General features: G+C 41.9%; 1 protein-coding gene across 54 annotated transcripts, besides 3 other annotated features; it reads left to right on the forward strand.

The window, feature by feature from the left end:
• Window positions 7,135–7,194: a silencer, noted in NCBI's record as "silent region_17277". NCBI's record gives its function as "represses an Ori minimal core promoter by ATAC-STARR-seq in GM12878 lymphoblastoid cells {active_cell/tissue: GM12878}" and the evidence as "EXISTENCE:reporter gene assay evidence [ECO:0000049][PMID:35858748]".
• C6orf141 (chromosome 6 open reading frame 141) lies at window positions 7,150–18,398 on the forward strand. Of its 54 annotated transcripts, none has more exons than NR_170590.1 (6): window positions 7,150–8,157; window positions 8,363–9,052; window positions 9,459–9,556; window positions 11,359–11,455; window positions 11,556–11,639; window positions 18,186–18,398. NR_170590.1 is itself a non-coding variant. In XM_047418230.1 (6 exons), the coding sequence occupies exon 1, from the start codon at window positions 7,275–7,277 to the stop codon at window positions 8,007–8,009; it is 735 nt and encodes a 244-aa protein (XP_047274186.1). In that variant the 5' UTR covers window positions 7,150–7,274; the 3' UTR covers window positions 8,010–8,157; window positions 8,947–9,052; window positions 9,459–9,689; window positions 11,359–11,455; window positions 11,556–11,639; window positions 17,016–17,416. The 54 variants fall into 54 exon arrangements, 11 of the variants coding, with proteins under 11 accessions (XP_047274186.1, XP_047274187.1, XP_047274185.1 ...); NR_170578.1 differs by having other exon boundaries at window positions 7,150–7,772; window positions 9,459–9,689; NR_170576.1 differs by lacking the exon at window positions 18,186–18,398 and adding an exon at window positions 17,016–17,416 and having other exon boundaries at window positions 9,459–9,689.
• Window positions 7,865–7,934: an enhancer, noted in NCBI's record as "active region_24664". NCBI's record gives its function as "activates an Ori minimal core promoter by ATAC-STARR-seq in GM12878 lymphoblastoid cells {active_cell/tissue: GM12878}" and the evidence as "EXISTENCE:reporter gene assay evidence [ECO:0000049][PMID:35858748]".
• Window positions 7,951–8,470: an enhancer, noted in NCBI's record as "OCT4-NANOG-H3K27ac-H3K4me1 hESC enhancer chr6:49519182-49519701 (GRCh37/hg19 assembly coordinates)". NCBI's record gives its function as "activates a minimal SCP1, AML or CMV promoter by ChIP-STARR-seq in primed H9 embryonic stem cells {active_cell/tissue: H9 hESC(primed)}" and the evidence as "EXISTENCE:reporter gene assay evidence [ECO:0000049][PMID:30033119]".
• Window positions 18,399–18,614: the final 216 nt, after the last annotated feature.

Raw genomic sequence — 18,614 nt, forward strand, 5'->3', positions numbered from 1 at the left:
GAATAGAAATATAAATTGGAGAATCATCAGTGTACAGGTTGCAGTTGAAGCTATGGAGATAGTTAAAATCATGGAGAGTATTTTAGATTTATGATAAAAGAAATATCAAGAACAAAATTGCTCTATTCATATGCCTCCATTGCATCATAGCTTAAAATGTTGCTTTGTTCAGAATACCCTATTTGTCACTTCCATATCAAAATTCTACTTCTAATGTATTGTACGGATTTGTTGTTCAGCTGAGTGCTTTTCCATTATAGAAGCCAAAGAGGTCCCCAAAGTTTTTTTGACTATATCTTTTCTTTTATTGTCCTGTATTATCAAAGGGTAAGCAGGTGGTATAAACTCAGCCAAGTGGATACCTCTGAGTGGGATTTTGTTTCCTAAATGCCTCAAAGACAAGTGAGAGAGTTCAAGTTTATTTATTGGGCATGGTGGTTTATGCCTGTAATCGCAGGACTCTGGGAGGCTGAGGCGGGTAGATCACTTGGGCCTAGGAGTTTGAGACCATCCTGGCCAACATGGCAAATCCCTGTCTATGAAAAACACAAAAATTAGCTGGGCATGGTGGTGTGCACTTTAGACACAGCTATTAGGGAGGCTGAGGTGGGAGGATTGCTTGAGCTGGGGAGGTCGAGGCTGCAGTGAGCCACGATAGCATCACTGTACTCCAGCCTGGACAACAGAGCAAAACCCTGTCTCAAAAAAAAAAAAAAAAAAAAAGAGTTTATTCAGCCTAGTGATGGAATCTGCTTCCACTGCAGAGACTTCTCCTGCAATATTATCTGCAAGAACTTTCCTTTTTACCTATGTTAAAGTCTGCTACATCTGCTTCCCCAACAAACCTGTGAGCTACTAATATCCTTATATTAGTTAAGTCTATTTTCCTTAACTGAATTAGAGTTGGTATATTAGCTCAGGCTGCTCCATAATAAAATACCATAGATTGCATGGCTTAAACAGCAGAAATTTATTTTCTTACAGTTTTTGGAGACTGGAAGTCTGAGAGCAAAGGGTCAGCATGGTTTGGGATTTTCTTCCTTGAGAACAATCTCTCTTCCCCTCTTCTAAGGTCACAGTCCTGTGGGATTAAAGTCACTACTCTTATTACCTCATTTAACCTTATTATCACATTAAAAAAAACCCTAGCTCCTGATACATTCACACTGCGGGGCAGAGTTTCAACCTAGGAACTTTGGGGGGTTATCATTCAGTACATAGCCTTTGGTTTCTGTAGCTTCCAACTAAAGTATCCAAACCATACAGACAGAATTTCCCTGTTTCCAAGAAGCCTGTCTCAACTACTCTAGCTCTCACCACTTTCTTTCCTTTACTAAATTTCATTACTTTAAATTCCCTTTAGTAAATTGTGGTCCCAAATATACATGTTGTTCTTAATTTTTCCTTATTTAATAACCTTAAAGGTAATCTAATTTGGTGGTTGTCAGACTTGGTGGCATATTAGAATCATCTGAGCAGATTTTTAAAATGCCAGTGTCCTAAGGTCCACTCCCCGCCAATTACATCCAAACCGCTCAGAGGAAGCCAAATAACATTTTTGTTTACAAATATTCCCCTAGGTGATTTCGGTGCACAGCCAAATGTGAAAATTACTGAAGTAATTCAATCTTATTTACAAGTTGGAAAATTTGGCTGTTTTATGTCTATTAGTTTTGTTCCCCCAACCTGATTATAAACTCTAGTTACAGAAATTTTTGCATTTACTTAACAAGAATAATGTAGTTATATAGGATGGGTGCATATCTAGCAAACAATTAATGAGCTTCTTTATGCAAAGAAGGTTTATTATCCATTTTTTTTTTTTTTTTTTTTTTTGTGGTAGAGTCTCGCTTTGTTGCCAAGGCTGGAGTGCAATGGTGTCATCTCAGCTCACTGCAACCTCCGCCTCCCAGGTTCAAGTGATTCTCATGCCTCAGCCTCCCGAGTAGCTGCTGGGACTCCCAGTGTGCACCACAGCACCTGGCTAATTTTTTTGTATTTTTTAGCAGAGATGCAGTTTCATCATGTTGGCCAGGTCGATCTCCAACTCTTGGTCTCAAGTGATCTGCCCACCTCGGCCTCCCAAAGTGTTGGGATTACAGGCATGAGCCATCACACTTAGCCTACGAAATGGTCCTTAATCTTAGTTACGCGTTGATCATTTCAGATGGGGTGGTGCAAAAAATGGTCTTGCCTGCACCCCCTCATTCAGTCTGATCAAATAGTATCAGGTGAGGCCTGAACTTCATGTACAACCACAGTTGAGAACAACCACTAATCTATTTCTTGATGAAATTGATATGTGAGTGAGCACAACCTGTCATAACATGGCAGGCTCATTTATCTCTAAAGATGAAAAATATTATCTGAATATATTTATTTATCAACTGACCTAATAAGAGTAAGTGGGCCTAAGAGTCTTTGCTGAAAGACTCTTGTCTGAATTGTGAATTCTGTTGCCAAAAGCACTAATGGACAACTAATCTGCCAATATTGTATAGACTCATAGAGTGTCACATTAACTCTACAACCAGATACAGAAACAAAAACTGTAGCTAATATGCTTAAATAGAAGAGTTCTTCTTTGTCCTTCTACTTGCTACAACTCTGTATTTCCCACTTAAAAGTAAAATCCTATTAATGTATTGTTTTATTTGATTGATATATGTATTCAATTGATGCATTGCCGCATTTCTTAATCAGCCACTTCAAGCTGATTGTAACCAAGTAACTACAAATCCATTCCTGCTCCAATGTGTCCCCCTCACTTTCTACCCACAATGTATGTATCTACTTCATTTGGGAGTACAACATTATATGCTTTCTAAATTGACAAGTTTTACATTTTAGTAAACAAAGACCAGCAGGAACACTCCTGTACTAAAGAAAAATAAGTTAGGTTTATTTTTCTTGCTTCAGCAGCTAAGAATGCACCCTTGAGTAATTATGGGATAATTCACTAAGTGGATTTGGGAGAGGCTTTGTATAGGATTTGGACTAGAGATGATAGTCCTAAATAAGATTTAAGGAAGCAGGAGCCAGTGCTGCATTAGATGTTGTCAAGAACTGGGATCAACTCCGTGATAGGGTACCTTGGTGACTTTTATCTAGGAAAGGAGAGGATTAAAGTAGATGTAGACCAGAAGTATCATTAGTAAAGGATTGATAGTCACTTCTGTTAGCTATAAGAGGGGGATGTTTAATCTTCTTTACGGTTTTTAGTGTTCTTGTCTGTCTTGTTCCAAACATGGTCACAGAGTGGTTTTATATAAACGATGCTTCTATTCTGAGTTTTGATAATGTTCAGTTGGGATCACCATGGCCTGGCCACCTGAAGGGCCACTTTTTGCTTTCTCAGAAGTTAAAAACTGTTGAATAGACAAGTTTTTCAACTCAAGAATGTTATATCTGATTGGGGAAAAATAAGCTATGAAATATTGCTACAGTTGTAAATTAAAGGCAGAGGTCTGCAAGTGGAGAGTAAACCTTCGGAAGGCAGAATTGCTCAAATGATTGAGAGTGTCATAAGTATGTAAAATAAGTTCTAGTTCTAATAGGCAAAATAAGAGGGACTGGTCTTTGGTTAGATTGGGCTATTAATTAAAGTCTTCTTCTTTTGGCCCTACCAGGGCAGAGCATGTGCTGATGATCCCCAATAATTTTACAGATCCCAGAAATATAAATTTCTTTATTACCCCTCATTGGCCTGCATATTTGCAGCTATAATGGGCACATCAGAGAGGAAGTAAATGGGTTCACTTTAGTGTCCTCTATCAGTCTTTTAGGCACTTTGAGATATTAATGCACAACAGACACCACTATCCTTGAGGCAAGCTGCCTGTTTTTCTGGTTGATATTCTTTTTAGACTTTACCTTTTTGAAGATTGATTTATTTAGCATTTCCCCTTCATGTTCTTTCATGCATTAATACATAACTTCTTGACATCTAGAAATTCAAGTGCAATATGACAAATGAGTCTGCTTCATTCTTCAGCAAATAACTTTTCCTCTTTTCTCATCCCCCTACTCTAATATCTCATGCAATCCACAATGGCAAGAAAACTATTTGAAAGCAATAAATGTTGTGGTTTACATTATATTTCCCTTAAAATACAGATACCTTATTGGAATTCTCCCAATATTCTTCAAGGAAAGAAAATATAGTATTCTTGTTGCAACTCTAAATAAGCAAAAAAGTGTTAGAGTTTATCTATACATATTTTTGGAAATGCTTCTCATAATGTCCATAAACCACTAGGTTAGAATTACTGAGGGATTTGCTAAAAATCTGTATCCTAATCTCTACCCCAAACCTATAAGAACAGAATCTTTGTAAGGAGGGTAAGACTTGAGCTGCAGGTAATTTTCATGTATATTAAGGTTAATTGATTATCTCCTAGTTCTGAACAGAGGATTGATGTATGTTACTGCATATATAAGAATAACAACTTTAGGCCGGATGTGGTGGCTCATGCCTGTAATCCCAGCACTTTGGGAGGCCAAGGTGGGTGGATCATCTGAGGTCAGGAGTTTGAGACTAGCCTGGCCAACATGGTAAAAGTCCGTCTCTACAAAAAATACAAAATTAGCCAGGTGTGGTGGCACATACCTGTAATCCCAGCTTACTCAGGGGGCTGAGGCAGGAGAATTGCTTGAACCTTGGAGGTGGAGGTTGCAGTGAGCTGAGATGGTGCCATTGTACTCCAGCCTGGGCAACAAGAGTGAAACTCTGTCTCAAATAAATAAGTAAATAAATAAATAAATAAAATCTTTAAGAGGATAAGCAATTTGGTTTGTTCCTCCAGATGTCTCTATCACCTAGAAGAGTAGCATATAGTTAGTAATTAGTGGTTATGTAAATGAATAGAAAAGAACATGAAGTCACAGGCTTAAAATATGAAGGTAATTTAGAAGTCATTTTGGAGCAAGCATTTAAATAAGTTAGAATCTTGGCTCCACTGTTTATTGGTGTTTGACCTTGGGCACACACTTAACCTCTTTGTGCTTCAAAGATTTCAAGGAGACCAAAGAAATACTACTACTTTCACAGTTTATTGTGAAGAATAAATGTGTTTAAATATATAGAGTGCTTAGAACAATTCTTGGCTAAGACACTCAAAAATTTGAGCTCATTGTGATTGAGGAGAAACCAGCCCAAGGTCAGGCATGTATATTTTTTGGTTGTTTTTGTTGTTGAAGAGACAGAGGTCTCACCATATGGTGCAGGCCAGATTCCAACTCCTAGGCTCAAGACACCCTCCCACCTCAATCTCCCAAGCAGCTGGGATTACCAGTAGGCGCCGCTGTGCCCACTAAGGTCAGGCTTCTAATCACCCAGGTCTGACCCAGATTTTCTCACTCCTCCTCTATCACTTTATTTCTTTATATGATTTGGCAGATATCAAAAGTCCTCCCTTTCCAAATATCTCACTATACTACTTTGTTTTTTACATATGGGCAGAATTTTTCACCATTGCACTCATTTTTCTAAATCAGGCAGGATTTAGATTTCTCTTTCTTTCCTTTCTTTTTTTTTCTTTTTCTTTTTTTTTTTGACAGATTCTTGCTCTAACACCCACACTAGAGAGCAGTGGTATGATCTTGGCTCACTGCAACCTCCCCCTCTCCCGTTCAAGCGATTTGGTGCCTCAGCATCCCAAGTAGCTGGGATTACTTACATGTGTGTACCACCATGCCTGACTAATTTTTGTACTTTTTGTAGAGACTGGGTTTCACCATGCTGACCAGGCTGGTCTCAAACTCCTGGCATCAAGTGATCCACCGGCCTCAGACTTCCAAAATGATGGGGCTACAGGTGTGAACCACCACACCCAGCCATCAGTGGGTTTTTTAATAAAACAAACAGCTAAGGATGAACTGGAAACCACAAACTGAGCTCTTTTTCTATGACCTAGCCTCCCCGGTTAACCTTAGGCAAAGAGTAGTGGTCAGCGGGCCTGCCTATGGGTAAATTCTAAAAGCCTCGCCAGAGACACTTAACTTTTTTTAACCCCTGTGGTTAAAGAGGACGGGTGGGTGCAGAGGGAATTTTATAAACGACACAAACACAAACAATTTTAAGTCCTGAAAAAATTCATTTGGATGTTTGTTTTGCTTCTGTTTTATAGCTTGTTTTAAATCAAAGACTACACCTTCCTGAGACAAGCGTTGATTACACACAAAATGAAGACTGGCCAGGGCCGTGGCTCAAGCCTGTAATCCCAGAATTTTGGGAGGCCCAGGTGGGTGTGTGGGTAGGGTGGGGGATCCTGGGTATCTCGTAAGCCCAGGAGTTCCAGACCAGCCTGGGCAATATAGGAGAGCCCCACCCCTACCATCTCTTAGAAAAATATAAATAAATAAATAAATAAATAAATAAATAAATAAATAAATAAAAGCCGGGCATGGGGGTGCGCGCCTGTAGTCCCGGCTACTTGACGGGCTGAGGTGGGAGCCTGGAAAGTCGAGGCTGCGCCACTGCACTCTATCCTGAGCTACAGAGCGAGACCATATCTAATGTGGGGGGGTGGGGTAAGAGGAAGGGGGAGCGGGGAGAGGGAGAGAGAAAGAGAGCGGGAAAAAAGAAGGAGGAGGAAGAGGAGGAGGAGGACACAGGTGTGACCATTGTCCTCCAGAGCTACAGATTCTGGCATTCTAAAGGAAGAAGGACAAAGAAACCAAAACCAGTTTCTCCAAGGCTTCAGCTTTTCAGTCTGACCATTTGATCTACATTCCATTATTTTGGCAGCATGGTGGGAGTGGATTCGGAATGGACAAAAACCCTTTTCAGAATTAGATCAGCTAATTAAAATGCACACAAACTTCTTTGTTCCTTCACCTCAAGGAGCGTCCTTGGAAAGCAAACATACTTCGGGGCATTTCAGTGGGGGCGCAGTGCGAGGGTGTCCTTTGCGCCTCAGCTCCGGAGAAAAACGAAAGGTGGGTGGGAAACTAGGATAGAGGTGAAAAGTAAGAGGGGACTGAATCAGCGAATGACAAAGGGAGCAGGGCTCCGGACAGGGGTAGGAGGAAGAAGAGGAGTGACTGGGGCTTGTGTCAAGCTTCTTCTGAATGGCTAGACAGCCGCCAGGTGGGAGAGGCGGAGGGTGAAGAGGCGGGTTCCGCACGCGGTTAGCCTGGGGCTGATCTAGTCTTCAGCTTTCACCGGCTGGGAGTCCGGAGCTGCAGCAGAGGCCACACCCAGGGCTTGGTGGTCCCGCGCTTTCCGGAGCTCAGCAGGCGCTTGCTGCTTGAACCGGTCAAAGAAGGAACGAATGAATGACCCTTTTGCCAGGATGGAGACCCGGGGGCCTCAGGGAGCTGCGAATCCCATGGACTCCTCCCGCAGCCTGGGGGACCTCGGGCCTTTTCCGCGGGAGGTAGGGCGCGGGGCTCCGCTAGCTCCGGGCGCCCGGAATCCCGCGACGGCAGGGGCGAGCCGAAGCCAGGGCGGCGGCCACGAGGACAGAACGGCAGATCGGGCCCTCGGACCTCGGGCCGGGGAGGAATTGGACCGTGAGTCCTGGGTCAGAGAGAAAGTGCTCTTTCTCCTGCACCCAGAGAGGTGGTTAGGGACTCGAGGGGACCCTGCACGGGAAGAGGTGGCCGGTGCAGAGGACCTTCCTCATGCGGGTGGAGAGGACCACGGCGAGGAGCCCAACTACCCTTCTGTCTTTCAACGACAAAAGCGAATTTCTGGCAGGCGTGTAGCCCCGCCGCGGGACGCAGCAGACCCACCCAAATACGTGCTTGTGCGGGTGGAGGATTATCAGGTAACACAAGAAGTGTTGCAGACCTCCTGGGCCAAGGGTCGCATGACCACGAGGACTGAGGAGCACTTCGTGACCGCGCTCACTTTTCGCAGCAGTAGAGAGGGACAGCCTGGGGAACGCTGGGGCCCTGCTGAATCCCGGGCTCTCCAGGCACGAACAGGGGCATCCCGCGTCCACGCCGCGGGGAGGAGGGTTTCACCGTCTCCAGGGACTTGGCTCGAGGAAATTAAACTCTAATGAGTAGCTCGAGAAATGTTCCGGGATGGTGGATGAGCGATCATCCTTAAAAGAAAATGCTATTCTGGGAGCTCCAACCTGCAATTAACCTACAGAAGGAACCTTTTGAGAGGCTGGTGCAGCGCTTCGGGGAGGCAGATTAAGAACTGTAAGCAGCATAATACCTCCTTTGTGGCTTGAATTCCTTCGCTGTCTGGGGACCTAAGTCATTCAGAAGAGGTGGAGAAAAGATATTTTCAGATTGGCAGAATGTGGGAGTTTTGAAATGAGAAAACCTGTTGTTAATTTGCATTTTGGAATAACTCTCAATTGATCTCTTTTCTGTTCCCCGCCCCCCTCTTGTTTCTCTTTAGGACCTAGAAACAGAAGTGAAGTTTGAAGTCTGCTCTCTGCAAAGAGGGTGGGAGTGGGTGGAGAAGAGGCTTGTTTTAAAAGCCAAAAACAGAAAGTAAAAAGAAATGGGAAAGTAAAACCAAAGCAGCAAGTGACTCTCTTCTGATGTGCACTTTTCATTTTTCTCCCCCACATTTCAGTGTTAGAAAGAAAACGAGAGGAGCTAGGGAAAGAAGGAGTTGGGGACAGAAGACTAAGATTTCAACGTGAAATTCCATTTACAAAGGCTTTACTGCAAACAATAGCTAATTTAGTCCTGTAAACATGCATTTATCATACATTTTAATTTTAATATTAAAAATACTGCATGTAAATGTTCTGAACTAAAGGTAGATAGCAATATGTAGTTTGCCATAAAATGAATGCATGTCTTATTCTTTTCCATAGTTCTTCATTAATGAGACTTGTAGTCAAGAATAGATTGAAGATACCATTCTCCTTGTGTAGTTCAAAAAAATCTCCTCTGGTAATACTGAAACAACTAATTTTTCTTATTTTGTTTGTTCCTCTTTATTATTAAATACTATGTGAATTAACTCTTTAGTAGTTGGCCTGGTTGAAGCTCTGTGAGGAGCAAAGCAGCCCTCTCCAGGTGAACTGCTTGACTTTACCACCTGAAGGAGTATTTACTGCAAGAATTAACAAAGCAGGTAGGACTCTGGCTTTTGATGAGCAAATAGTTGAAAAGTGCCTCCTTCCCCAGTCTTCCCTTTTGCCTTCATTTTTAGTTTAGAGCTTGAAGTGTTCTCAAAAGATCATCTGATCTACCTCTTGCCTCCTGGCAGGCCAGATAGATAAGATGCCCCTGTTTTACTCATGAGCCAACCTAGGCCTAGAGGTCTTGTAGCATGTCTAAGTCACACAGCTAGTAATTGCATATGCTTACTAAGTGGATGAAGAATGTGATAATCTCCCTCCTAAAGGTTTGGGGCAGCCTTTAGAGGATTTATTTGACCCTTACTTAGGGGTCAAAAGATGCCTGAGGATATCCTAGGTTTTCTTTCTTTTTCTATTTTTTTCTTTTTTTTGAGACAGAGTTTCTCTCTTGTTGCCCAGACTGCAGTGCAACGGCACGATCTTGGCTCACCACAACCTCTACCTCCAGGGTTCAAGCGATGCTCCTACCTCAGCCTCCTCAGTAGCTGGGATTACAGGCATGTGCCATCACCCCGGCTAATTCTGTATTTTTAGTAGAGATGGGGTTTCTCCATGTTGGCCAGGCTGGTCTTGAACTCCCAACCTCAGGTGATCCTCCTGCCTCCGCCTCCCAAAGTGCTGGGATTACAGGTATGAGCCACCATGCCTGGCCAATATCTTAGGTTTTCTAACTCATGTTTATGAGAAGTACTAGAATCACCTTAATGTTCCTGAATTCTGCAAGGCCTCTTGGCTGGAGAATCATCACTAGCAGTTCTTAGGCCTGTGAGACCCTCACTTGGGAGAGGAATTCAGCATCTGAGCTCATCTGTGTTCAAAATTGCTTGACAGGTAGAAAAGATTCATCCCTTAAAATGAATCTCTTTTCCTTAACAACCCTCCCTGACTCCAGTGGGAGATTAACTTACTTGGCATGTAAGTTTCAGACCTGAGCTTATTAATTTGGTTGAATCATCACATGTCCCAGGTGACTAATCATTGAATATAGAGAACAAAAAAAGTCTCTTTCACAATAACCAAAAATGGTAAGTAGCATCACTCAGCTGCCTTCTCTGGAGGCAATTTCTGGCGTTCAGCTGCTTGGGTTCAAAACTGGCTCTACCTCTTTATTAACTTGTGTCCTTGGGCAAGTTGCCTTATCTCTGTGTGCCTCTGTATCCTGATTTGTTAAGTGGGGACAATAAATAGTATCAACTTCATAGAGGGTTTTTTTTTTTTAGGGTTAAGTTAAATGAAAATACTTAGAACCCTGCCTGTCATACAATAAATCCTCAAAGTTAGTTACATTTTTTATTATTAGCACGGTTATTGTTTAGTTCACTTTTCATCCTAACTAGGCTTTAGTCTTTTGTTTAGTAACAAAAAGCAGAAATTGTATAACACAAGAAAGCTAATGAAAGTCAAGCCGGTGGTTTTTAATAAGACTCTTCTCTACTCCTGAAAGAAAGGACTTATTTCTAGCTTTTCCTAACCTTTAATGGATCAGTAAGTATATTTCTTAAATTCTTTAGAAATGACCTTCACATCTTCTGTAGGGACTCATGGTAAAGCTCAAAGGACTAAGGTACACTATCCTTAACAGTCACTGAAAAGAGTTTACATACCTCCTAGTTCTGGGCAGATGGGAGCTTTGAATACTTTCTTTGACCTGTCAGGTTAGTTTGTTTTCCCTCTGGGATTTTAAATCTGATGCCCTGTTGTCTAGAAAAGCAGAATAGACACAATTTGTTTTCATTTTGTCTTTCAGCCAAAAACGTATTTAGTCAAGTTAGCTTAACTCCTTTAAACCAAATATGTTTGAGTTAATTTTGTTTTGTTTTTGAGACAGAGTCTTGCTCTGTCGCCCAGGCTGGAGTGCAGTGGCACGATCTCTGCTCACTCCAAGCTCCGCCTCCCATGTTCACACCATTCTCCTGCCTCAGCCTCCTGAGTAGCTGGGACTACATGCGCCCGCCACCATGCCTGGCTAGTTTTTTTGTATTTTTAGTAGAGACGGGGTTTCACCGTGTTAGCCAGGATGATCTCGATCTCCTTGACCTTGTGATGCGCCCGCCTCGGCCTCCCAAAGTGGTGGGATTACAGGCCTGAGCCACCATGCCCGGCCTGTTTGAGTTAATTTTAAGTGATTTTTTTTTTCCTTTTCTCACTGTTTCAAGCAATGAAAATTTATTTTTAAAGTGCTTACTCAACTTCCCTATTAACTGCCTAGAACATGTTTATAGATTTCATTTAATATAGAGTTCCTTTTCATTGGAAACAAAAAGTAGTAAGTCCAAATACTGTTGAATTTGCTTCACAGGTGTTCCTGATCCAAGCAGAACCCTGTTATTTGAAGAGCCTGAGAAATCTTATCCCGTTTACAAATGTCCTGGGAGTGCATCCAAAGTGAAACTTGGGCATCCTCAATACTAAGAAATCTCTGAGAATGACTGGATCTTGGCTCTTTGATCTTACCTCTACTCCTCTGAAAAACATGATTATCTAAAATTGTGTTAGGTGGATGAACCGCATCAAAGACTTCCAGAAGCCACTCCAGTGACCATAAGATAAATGTCAGAATCGCATAACCCCCAGGATCAGGCAAGTGTTATCCTCTCTTAAAACTCTTTGTTTACAACCATGATCTCCTTTTGGGAATCATTACATTTGACTTACTGCTTATTTTTGTTGGATGTTACCAGTGCTTGGTGATAAAACTTGATGTGGCTCTTTGCTTTGAAAAAGAAAAAAACTTTTTATTAAAAGAAACAGTTGTATACACTGCATAAAAATTGGGAAAATATTATGAAGAAAAAGAAGATATAATAAAGGAAACAAAAATTTACAGATGACCCCAAATCTCTTTTAATATTTGGCAAGTTTCAAGCATGAATTTTTTGTTTTGTTTTGTTTTTGTTTTATAGAGACAGCACCTTGCTATGTTGCCCAGGCTAGTCTTTTTTTTTTTTTGAGACGGAGCCTCGCTCTGTTGCCCAGGCTGGAGTGCAGTGGCGCAATCTTCGCTCACTGCAAGCTCTGCCTCCCGGGTTCATGCCATTCTCCTGCCTCAGCCTCCCGAGCAGCCGGGACTACAGGCGCTCGCCATCACGCCCGGCTAATTTTTTGTATTTTTAGGAGAAATGGGGTTTCACCATGTTAGCCAGGATGGTCTCGATCTCCTGATCTCGTGATCTGTCCACCTCAGCCTCCCAAAGTGCTGTGATTACAGGCGTGAGCCACCGCGCACCTGGCGTGCCCAGGCTAGTATTAAAATCCTGGACTCAAGCAATCCTCCTGCCTTGGCCTCCCAACATGCTGGGCTTATAGGCATCAGCCACCATGCCTGGCCAAGTGTGGTTTTATTTTATTGTATTTTCATGTGAATATACCTACATATATACATACATCTTTCTAAGCATAAACTATATAAAGTAGTATTAATGTAACCTCTGTATATTTTCTGAATATGATCTGTATATAAACAAACATATACTGATGCTACTCAAGATGGGCGTTCTGTGAAACGGCAGCGTGGGCATCTCCAAGAAGGTTTTTAGAAAAGTAGAATCTCAGGCCCCATTCCAGATCTGTTGAATCAGAATTCGCATTTTGTCAAGATCATTGGATGATTCACATTAAAGTTTGAGAAACACTGACATATTCTCATATATTTAGTTCTGTATCCTATTTTGTCACTTACCAAAACTGAAAAGTTTTTTTATTCTGTATTCCCAATTAATTGTTAACAATGCCATGAAGATAATAATTCATAGAGTTTTGAACACAGTTAAAGATTACAGGAAGGTGAAAGATAGAGGATATGAATGGGTAAATTGGCGAAGAGATCTCTATGAAGCTTTATAGTGTCTTTTTTAAAGAGCCTTATTATTTGAAAGTTTGTCCTAATGAACCATTGACTCATCATTGAATTTCAAACTATTTCAGAAATATGGCTATTTTGTTGTCTAGGAATATGAAATAATACATTATAAAAAACTCCTGTAAAGGTGAAAAAGCAGGAAGTCATTAACACATTGCACAATTGCAACTCTGCAGGCTGAGTCAGAACTTGTCAGCCACTTGTGATGAATTGAGAGGGGTGGGGAAAAGGTGGAGCCAGAATTTGAATCAACTGATTCAGATAAGTAAACAAAGGGCTGTGACTCTTGAACACCATGACATCTCTATAACTGCAGTCAGTACTTTGCTCTGTAATTAGGGAGGGCAAATCTGTGAATTTACTTCTCTAGATGAAGATAAAGTCCAGATTACTTTGGAGAGAGTAAGGAGTTATGATTGGTTTTCAGGCATTATGCAGCCAATAGTCACAAACAAAACATTAAGACTTGGTTATCTTCAAAGCAAGGAACTAACCAAATTCAAACTTACATTTCTAACCTTAAAACAGAACAAGAGGCCAAGCACGGTGGCTCACGCCTGTAATCCCAGCACTTTGGGAGGCCAAAGCAGGTGGATCACCTGAGGTCAGGAGTTCAAGACTAGCCTGACCAACATGGAGAAACCCCATCTCTATTAAAAATACAGAATTAGCCGAGGTGATGGTGCATGCCCATAATCCCAGCTACTCAGGAGGCTGAGGCAGGAGAATCACTTGAACCCAGGAGGAGGAGGTTGCAGTGAGCTGAGATCGCGCCATTGCACTCCAGCCTGGGCAACAAGAGCAAAACTCCATCTCAAAATAATAATAATAATTAATAAATAAACAGAACAAGAGTATTTTGAGGAGACTGCAGCCCTCCCCAAAATAGAACAAACAGAGGCTGTGTTTGCAGAGCTTGCTATAATAAGAGAGTCAGCCAACATCATTTGTGCTTGGCAGGAAAGCGAAGGCAGGTAGGGCAATAGGAAAGCTTTGTAGTGGCCAAGATGATCTTACCCATTCCTCAGCTTGACTAAATTTCAGATAAGCTTCTTGACTTAGGTCCCTGACTTTCCTTTTCTTAGAGCATTTACTTTAGAAGACTTTGAATGGTAAATTATTTCTCTGCCCCTTTGAAATGTAAATCTAAGAAAGATCCAGGTATGTCTTTCTTGAGGACCTAGGAGCCATTACTGTGAAGTGTAATCACTGAAAACAAACAAACAAACAAACAAAACTCAGAGGTCTCTAACTATCAGTCTCTGTGGGAGGGTGGAAGCCCAGCTTCTCAAAGTGCCAATCAGCAAACATAGATGGCATAATCACATTGACCAATGTCCCTTTTAACATTGTCTCGTAGTTTTTCTCTAGCTCGCCTTAATGCTTAAAATATTCCCACCTTTTGTTTCAAAGGAATTAAGTTCAATCTCTCTCCCCTAATGCAATAGTTTTTGTTTTTTGTTTGTTTGTTTTTTGAGACAGTCTCACTGTGTTGTCCAGGCTGGAGGGCAGAGGCGCAATCTTGACTTACTGCAACCTCCGCCTCCCGGGTTCAAGTGATTTTCCTGCCTGAGCCTCCTGAGTAGCTGAGACTACAAGTGCATGCCGTTACACTCAAATATGTTTTTTTTTTTTTTTTTTTTTTTTAGTAGAGACGGGTTTTGGGCATGTTGGCCAGGCTGGTCTCAAACTTCTGGCCTCAATGATCCACTTGCCTTGGCCTCCCAAAGTGCTCGGATAACAGGTGTGAGCCACCATGCCCGGCCTCTAATGCAATAGTCTTGAATAAAGTTTTCCTTGCTGTTTAACTCTGTCCCATGCAATTACTCTTCAACAATAGTGGAAAAAGAAAGGCTTTAGTTATGTTCTGCTTGGAGCCTATTGGCATGGGGGGAGCTGGAGGCAGGTGATCTAGGACAACTTCTTACATGATTAGTTTAGGGATTTCTCAGGTAGGCCCTGAGTTGGAAAAAAAAAAAAAAAAGAGAGAGAGAGAGAGAAGCTGGCAGTCACTGACCAAGTCCTGACCTTTTGAGCTGATTGCTCCAGAGGCTGTGTTTTGACTTCCCAGGTTGTGACTTCCTTCTCACAAAACTTGTAGGTTGGAATTCTGTAATAAATGGTATCAACCTCATAAGTTTTTTTCAAGGATTAAGGTGAATAAAAAATTCTTAGAACAGTGTCTGGCCTATAATAAATACTCAAAATTAACTATTATTATTATAATTAGTATTAGTGGTAGTGGTAGTGTGTTCAGTTTACTTTTCGTATTTTTTTTGGGGGGGGTGCGGGATGGAGTCTTGCTCTGTTGCCCAGGCTGGAGTGCAGTGGCACGATCTTGGCTCACTGCAAGCTCCGCCTCCTGGGTCCACGTGATTCTCCTGCCTCAGCCTCCCGAGTAGCTGGGACTACAGGTGCCCGCCACCATGCCTGGCTAATTTTTTGTATTTTTAGTAGAGACGGGGTTTCACTGTGTTAGCCAGGATGGTCTCGATCTCCTGAACTCGTGATCCACCTGCCTCGGCCTCCCAAAGTGGTGGGATTACAGGCATGAGCCACCATGCCCAGCCTTCAGTTTACTCTTCAATCTAATTAGGCTTTAGTCTTTAATGACAAAGAGCAGAAGACATACAGCACACACAAAACAATCAAATCCAAACCAGTGGTTTTTACTAAGACTCTTTTCTGTCTTTTTTCATATTTTACCATATATGATCTGGTCATTGTCCATATATATATATATATATATATATATATATATATATATATATATATATATATATATATATATATATATTCAGTCTTTCATTTATGTTAGACCAATCCTAAAGACAGAGTTAGAAACTGAAAAACCCAGTCATAAAATTCTGGAAGATTTAGTCACAGATTTCTTTTATGGAGATAATCACATTATACTTGTTTATTAGAAACATCCAGAATGCAGCCTTGCAAGTAGCTTTTTTCTGGAAGTGAAATATGCTTTGGCATAGTTTAATCCTGTTGACATCCAAAATGCTATGTAATGGATGAGTGCTACTTACTGAAAGCAAAGTCAAGTCTGCATAAGTCCACCTAGGCATGGGGTATTATCTAGTGGTCACTGGGGTTATAGCATACATAAGCATTACCTTTAGACTGCGTGACTTGTTCCTGGCCCAAACCCCTGAGTGTTAAATTTGCTTTGTGTGACCATTGGACCATCCTTAGGCCATTTTCTACCTTCAAAACATCTTGTGACTTTGAGCTTATTTGGAAAGGCCATGAGGTCCCTGGAAAAGTGGGCACAATTGGGTATCTTGAATTCAGCTTACTTGGAAGAGGAAAAAGGAGGCATAAGGGGTACCACATAATTTTTAACAAAGCGAGAGAACTTTCAGGGAGAACTTCGGAATGCAGTCAGCTTCTGTAAGGATTCTCTAACTGGTGTCCCTGTGTCAGGAAAAGCCCTAAGCCAACCTATGGACTTTCCAATCCAGCCTCAATGTTATCCCAGGCTCCTGAGGTTATAGGGTTTATCCTACAGTCTTTCTATCCTAACTGGGTGGAATAACGTACAAAGTTACAAATGAAATAACCTTATATTAGAAATTGATCAGGCTGGGTGCGGTGGCTCATGCCTTTAATCCCAACACTTTGGGAGGCTGAGGTGGGTGGATCACCTGAGGTCTGGAGTTCGAAACCAGCCTGACTAACATGGTGAAACCCTGTCTCTACTAAAGATACACAAAATTAGCCAGATGCGGTGGTGCGCACCTGTAATCCCAGCTACTCGGGTGGCTGAGGCAGAAGAATAGCTTGAACTCAGGAGGCAGAGGTTGCAGTGAGCCGAGATCGCGCCACCGCACTCCAGCCTGGGTGACAGAGTGAGACTCCATCTCAAAAAAAAAGAAAAGAAAGAGATTGGTCATTTTTCTCCCTGTTTGGGATTCTGTTGGAGTGGAAGAAGGGATTCTCTGACCTATATATTCAGTGGCATGCTAAGGACCAGGCAATGGGTGGGGTTTGCTCAGGAGAGAACAATAAGCAGTGCATCATCATTAGAGATTTTAAAACAATGATAAAGCCAGACTAAAAGTCTTTCTGCTTTCTTTTTTTAGCCTGTTGCTCAGGCTGGAGTGCAATGGCACGATCTGAGCTCACTGCAACCACCTGCCTCCCGGGTTCAAGCTATTCTCCTGCCTCAGCCTCCTGAGTAGCTGGGATTACAGGCGCCTGCAACCACACCCAGCTAATTTTTGTACTTTTAGTAGAGATGGGGTTTTGCCATGTTGGCCAGGCTGGTCTCGAACTCTTGACCTCAGGTGATCTGCCTGCCTCAGCCTCCCAAAGTGCTGGGATTACAGGCTTGAGCCACCGAGCCTGGCCTCTACTTTTTATTACTGTCATGTAGTTAGTGATAAAATGCTTCTATCTGAAAAAAAATTTGTTGTTCTAAATTCTAAAAAATTCTCGTGATTATTGCTTAAATTTTAATAAAGCAGATGTGATTTTCAAATTACCACATTTTTATTTTTCTTTATTTTTTCTGTGTGGAAGGTCATTGAAAAGCCTCTATGTTGTCCTCCTAATATCTCTGTCTCTCCATCACCGTCTCTCTCTCTCTCTCTCTCTCTCTCTGTCTGTCTCACACATAAACTCAACTAAATGCATTCATTGTGAGAGTAATTTTTTTTTTTTTTGAGACAGAGTCTTTCTCTGTCGCCCAGGCTAGAGTTAAGTGGCACGATATCAGCTCACTGCAACCTCTGCCTCCTGGGTTCAAGCGATTCTCGTGCCTCAGCCTACCAGGTAGCTGAGATTACGGGTGCGTGCAGCCAAACCTGGCTAATTCTTGTATTTTTAGTAGAGACGGAGTTTTTACTATGTTGGCCAGGCTGGTCTCAAACTCCTGACCTCAGGTGATCCCCCTGCCTTGGCCTCCCAAAGTGCTGGGATCACAGGCATGAGCCACCGCGCCTGGCCAGGTTCAGAATCTTTAGAGCTCGCTTTGAGTGTACCTTGTGTCTTCAATCCTTATATATAAATACCTGCACTTCAAGAACAGATTTAACACAAACAATACCACAGCAATTGTGGTGTCTGAGGAAGAGAACTTGAGTTACTTCTATCCTGCCATTATATATGACTTATTTATGTGTAACATTTAAAATAAGAAAATAGCAAAATGTATTATTTTTGATAAGTGTTAATTTATTTCACAGCTGAGCTGTTTTACTGGATTTGAGTGAATGTCTTTAATTAAAACTTATTCTTTTCTTAAAAAATAGAGATGGAGTCTCACTCTGTCACCCAGCCTGGAATGTAGTGGCATCATTGTAACTCACTGCAGCCTGAAACTCCTTGGCTTAAGTGATCCTCCCACCTCAGCCTCCCAAGTAGCTGGAACTATAGGCACAAGCTACCATGCCTGGCTATTCTTTTTTGTTAATTTTTTTTAAACTAAGGAATGAAGAAAATAAAACATTACATGACTGGTACAATTTAGTTGTCTTGATTGTTTCTTGATATCATTTGGATCTGTGTCTCTGCCCAAATCTCATGTTGCATTATAATCCCCAATGTTAGAGGTGGGGCTTGGTGGGAGGTGATTGGATCATGGGGGTGGTTTCCCATGAATGGCTTAGCACCATCCCCTTGGTGCTGCTCTTGTAGTGAGTGAGCGCTCACAAGATCCAGTTGTTTAAATGTGCGTAGCA

This window comes from Homo sapiens, chromosome 6 (genome assembly GCF_000001405.40).
Source record: "Homo sapiens chromosome 6, GRCh38.p14 Primary Assembly".
In the NCBI taxonomy this organism is placed as follows: Eukaryota; Metazoa; Chordata; class Mammalia; order Primates; family Hominidae; genus Homo; species Homo sapiens.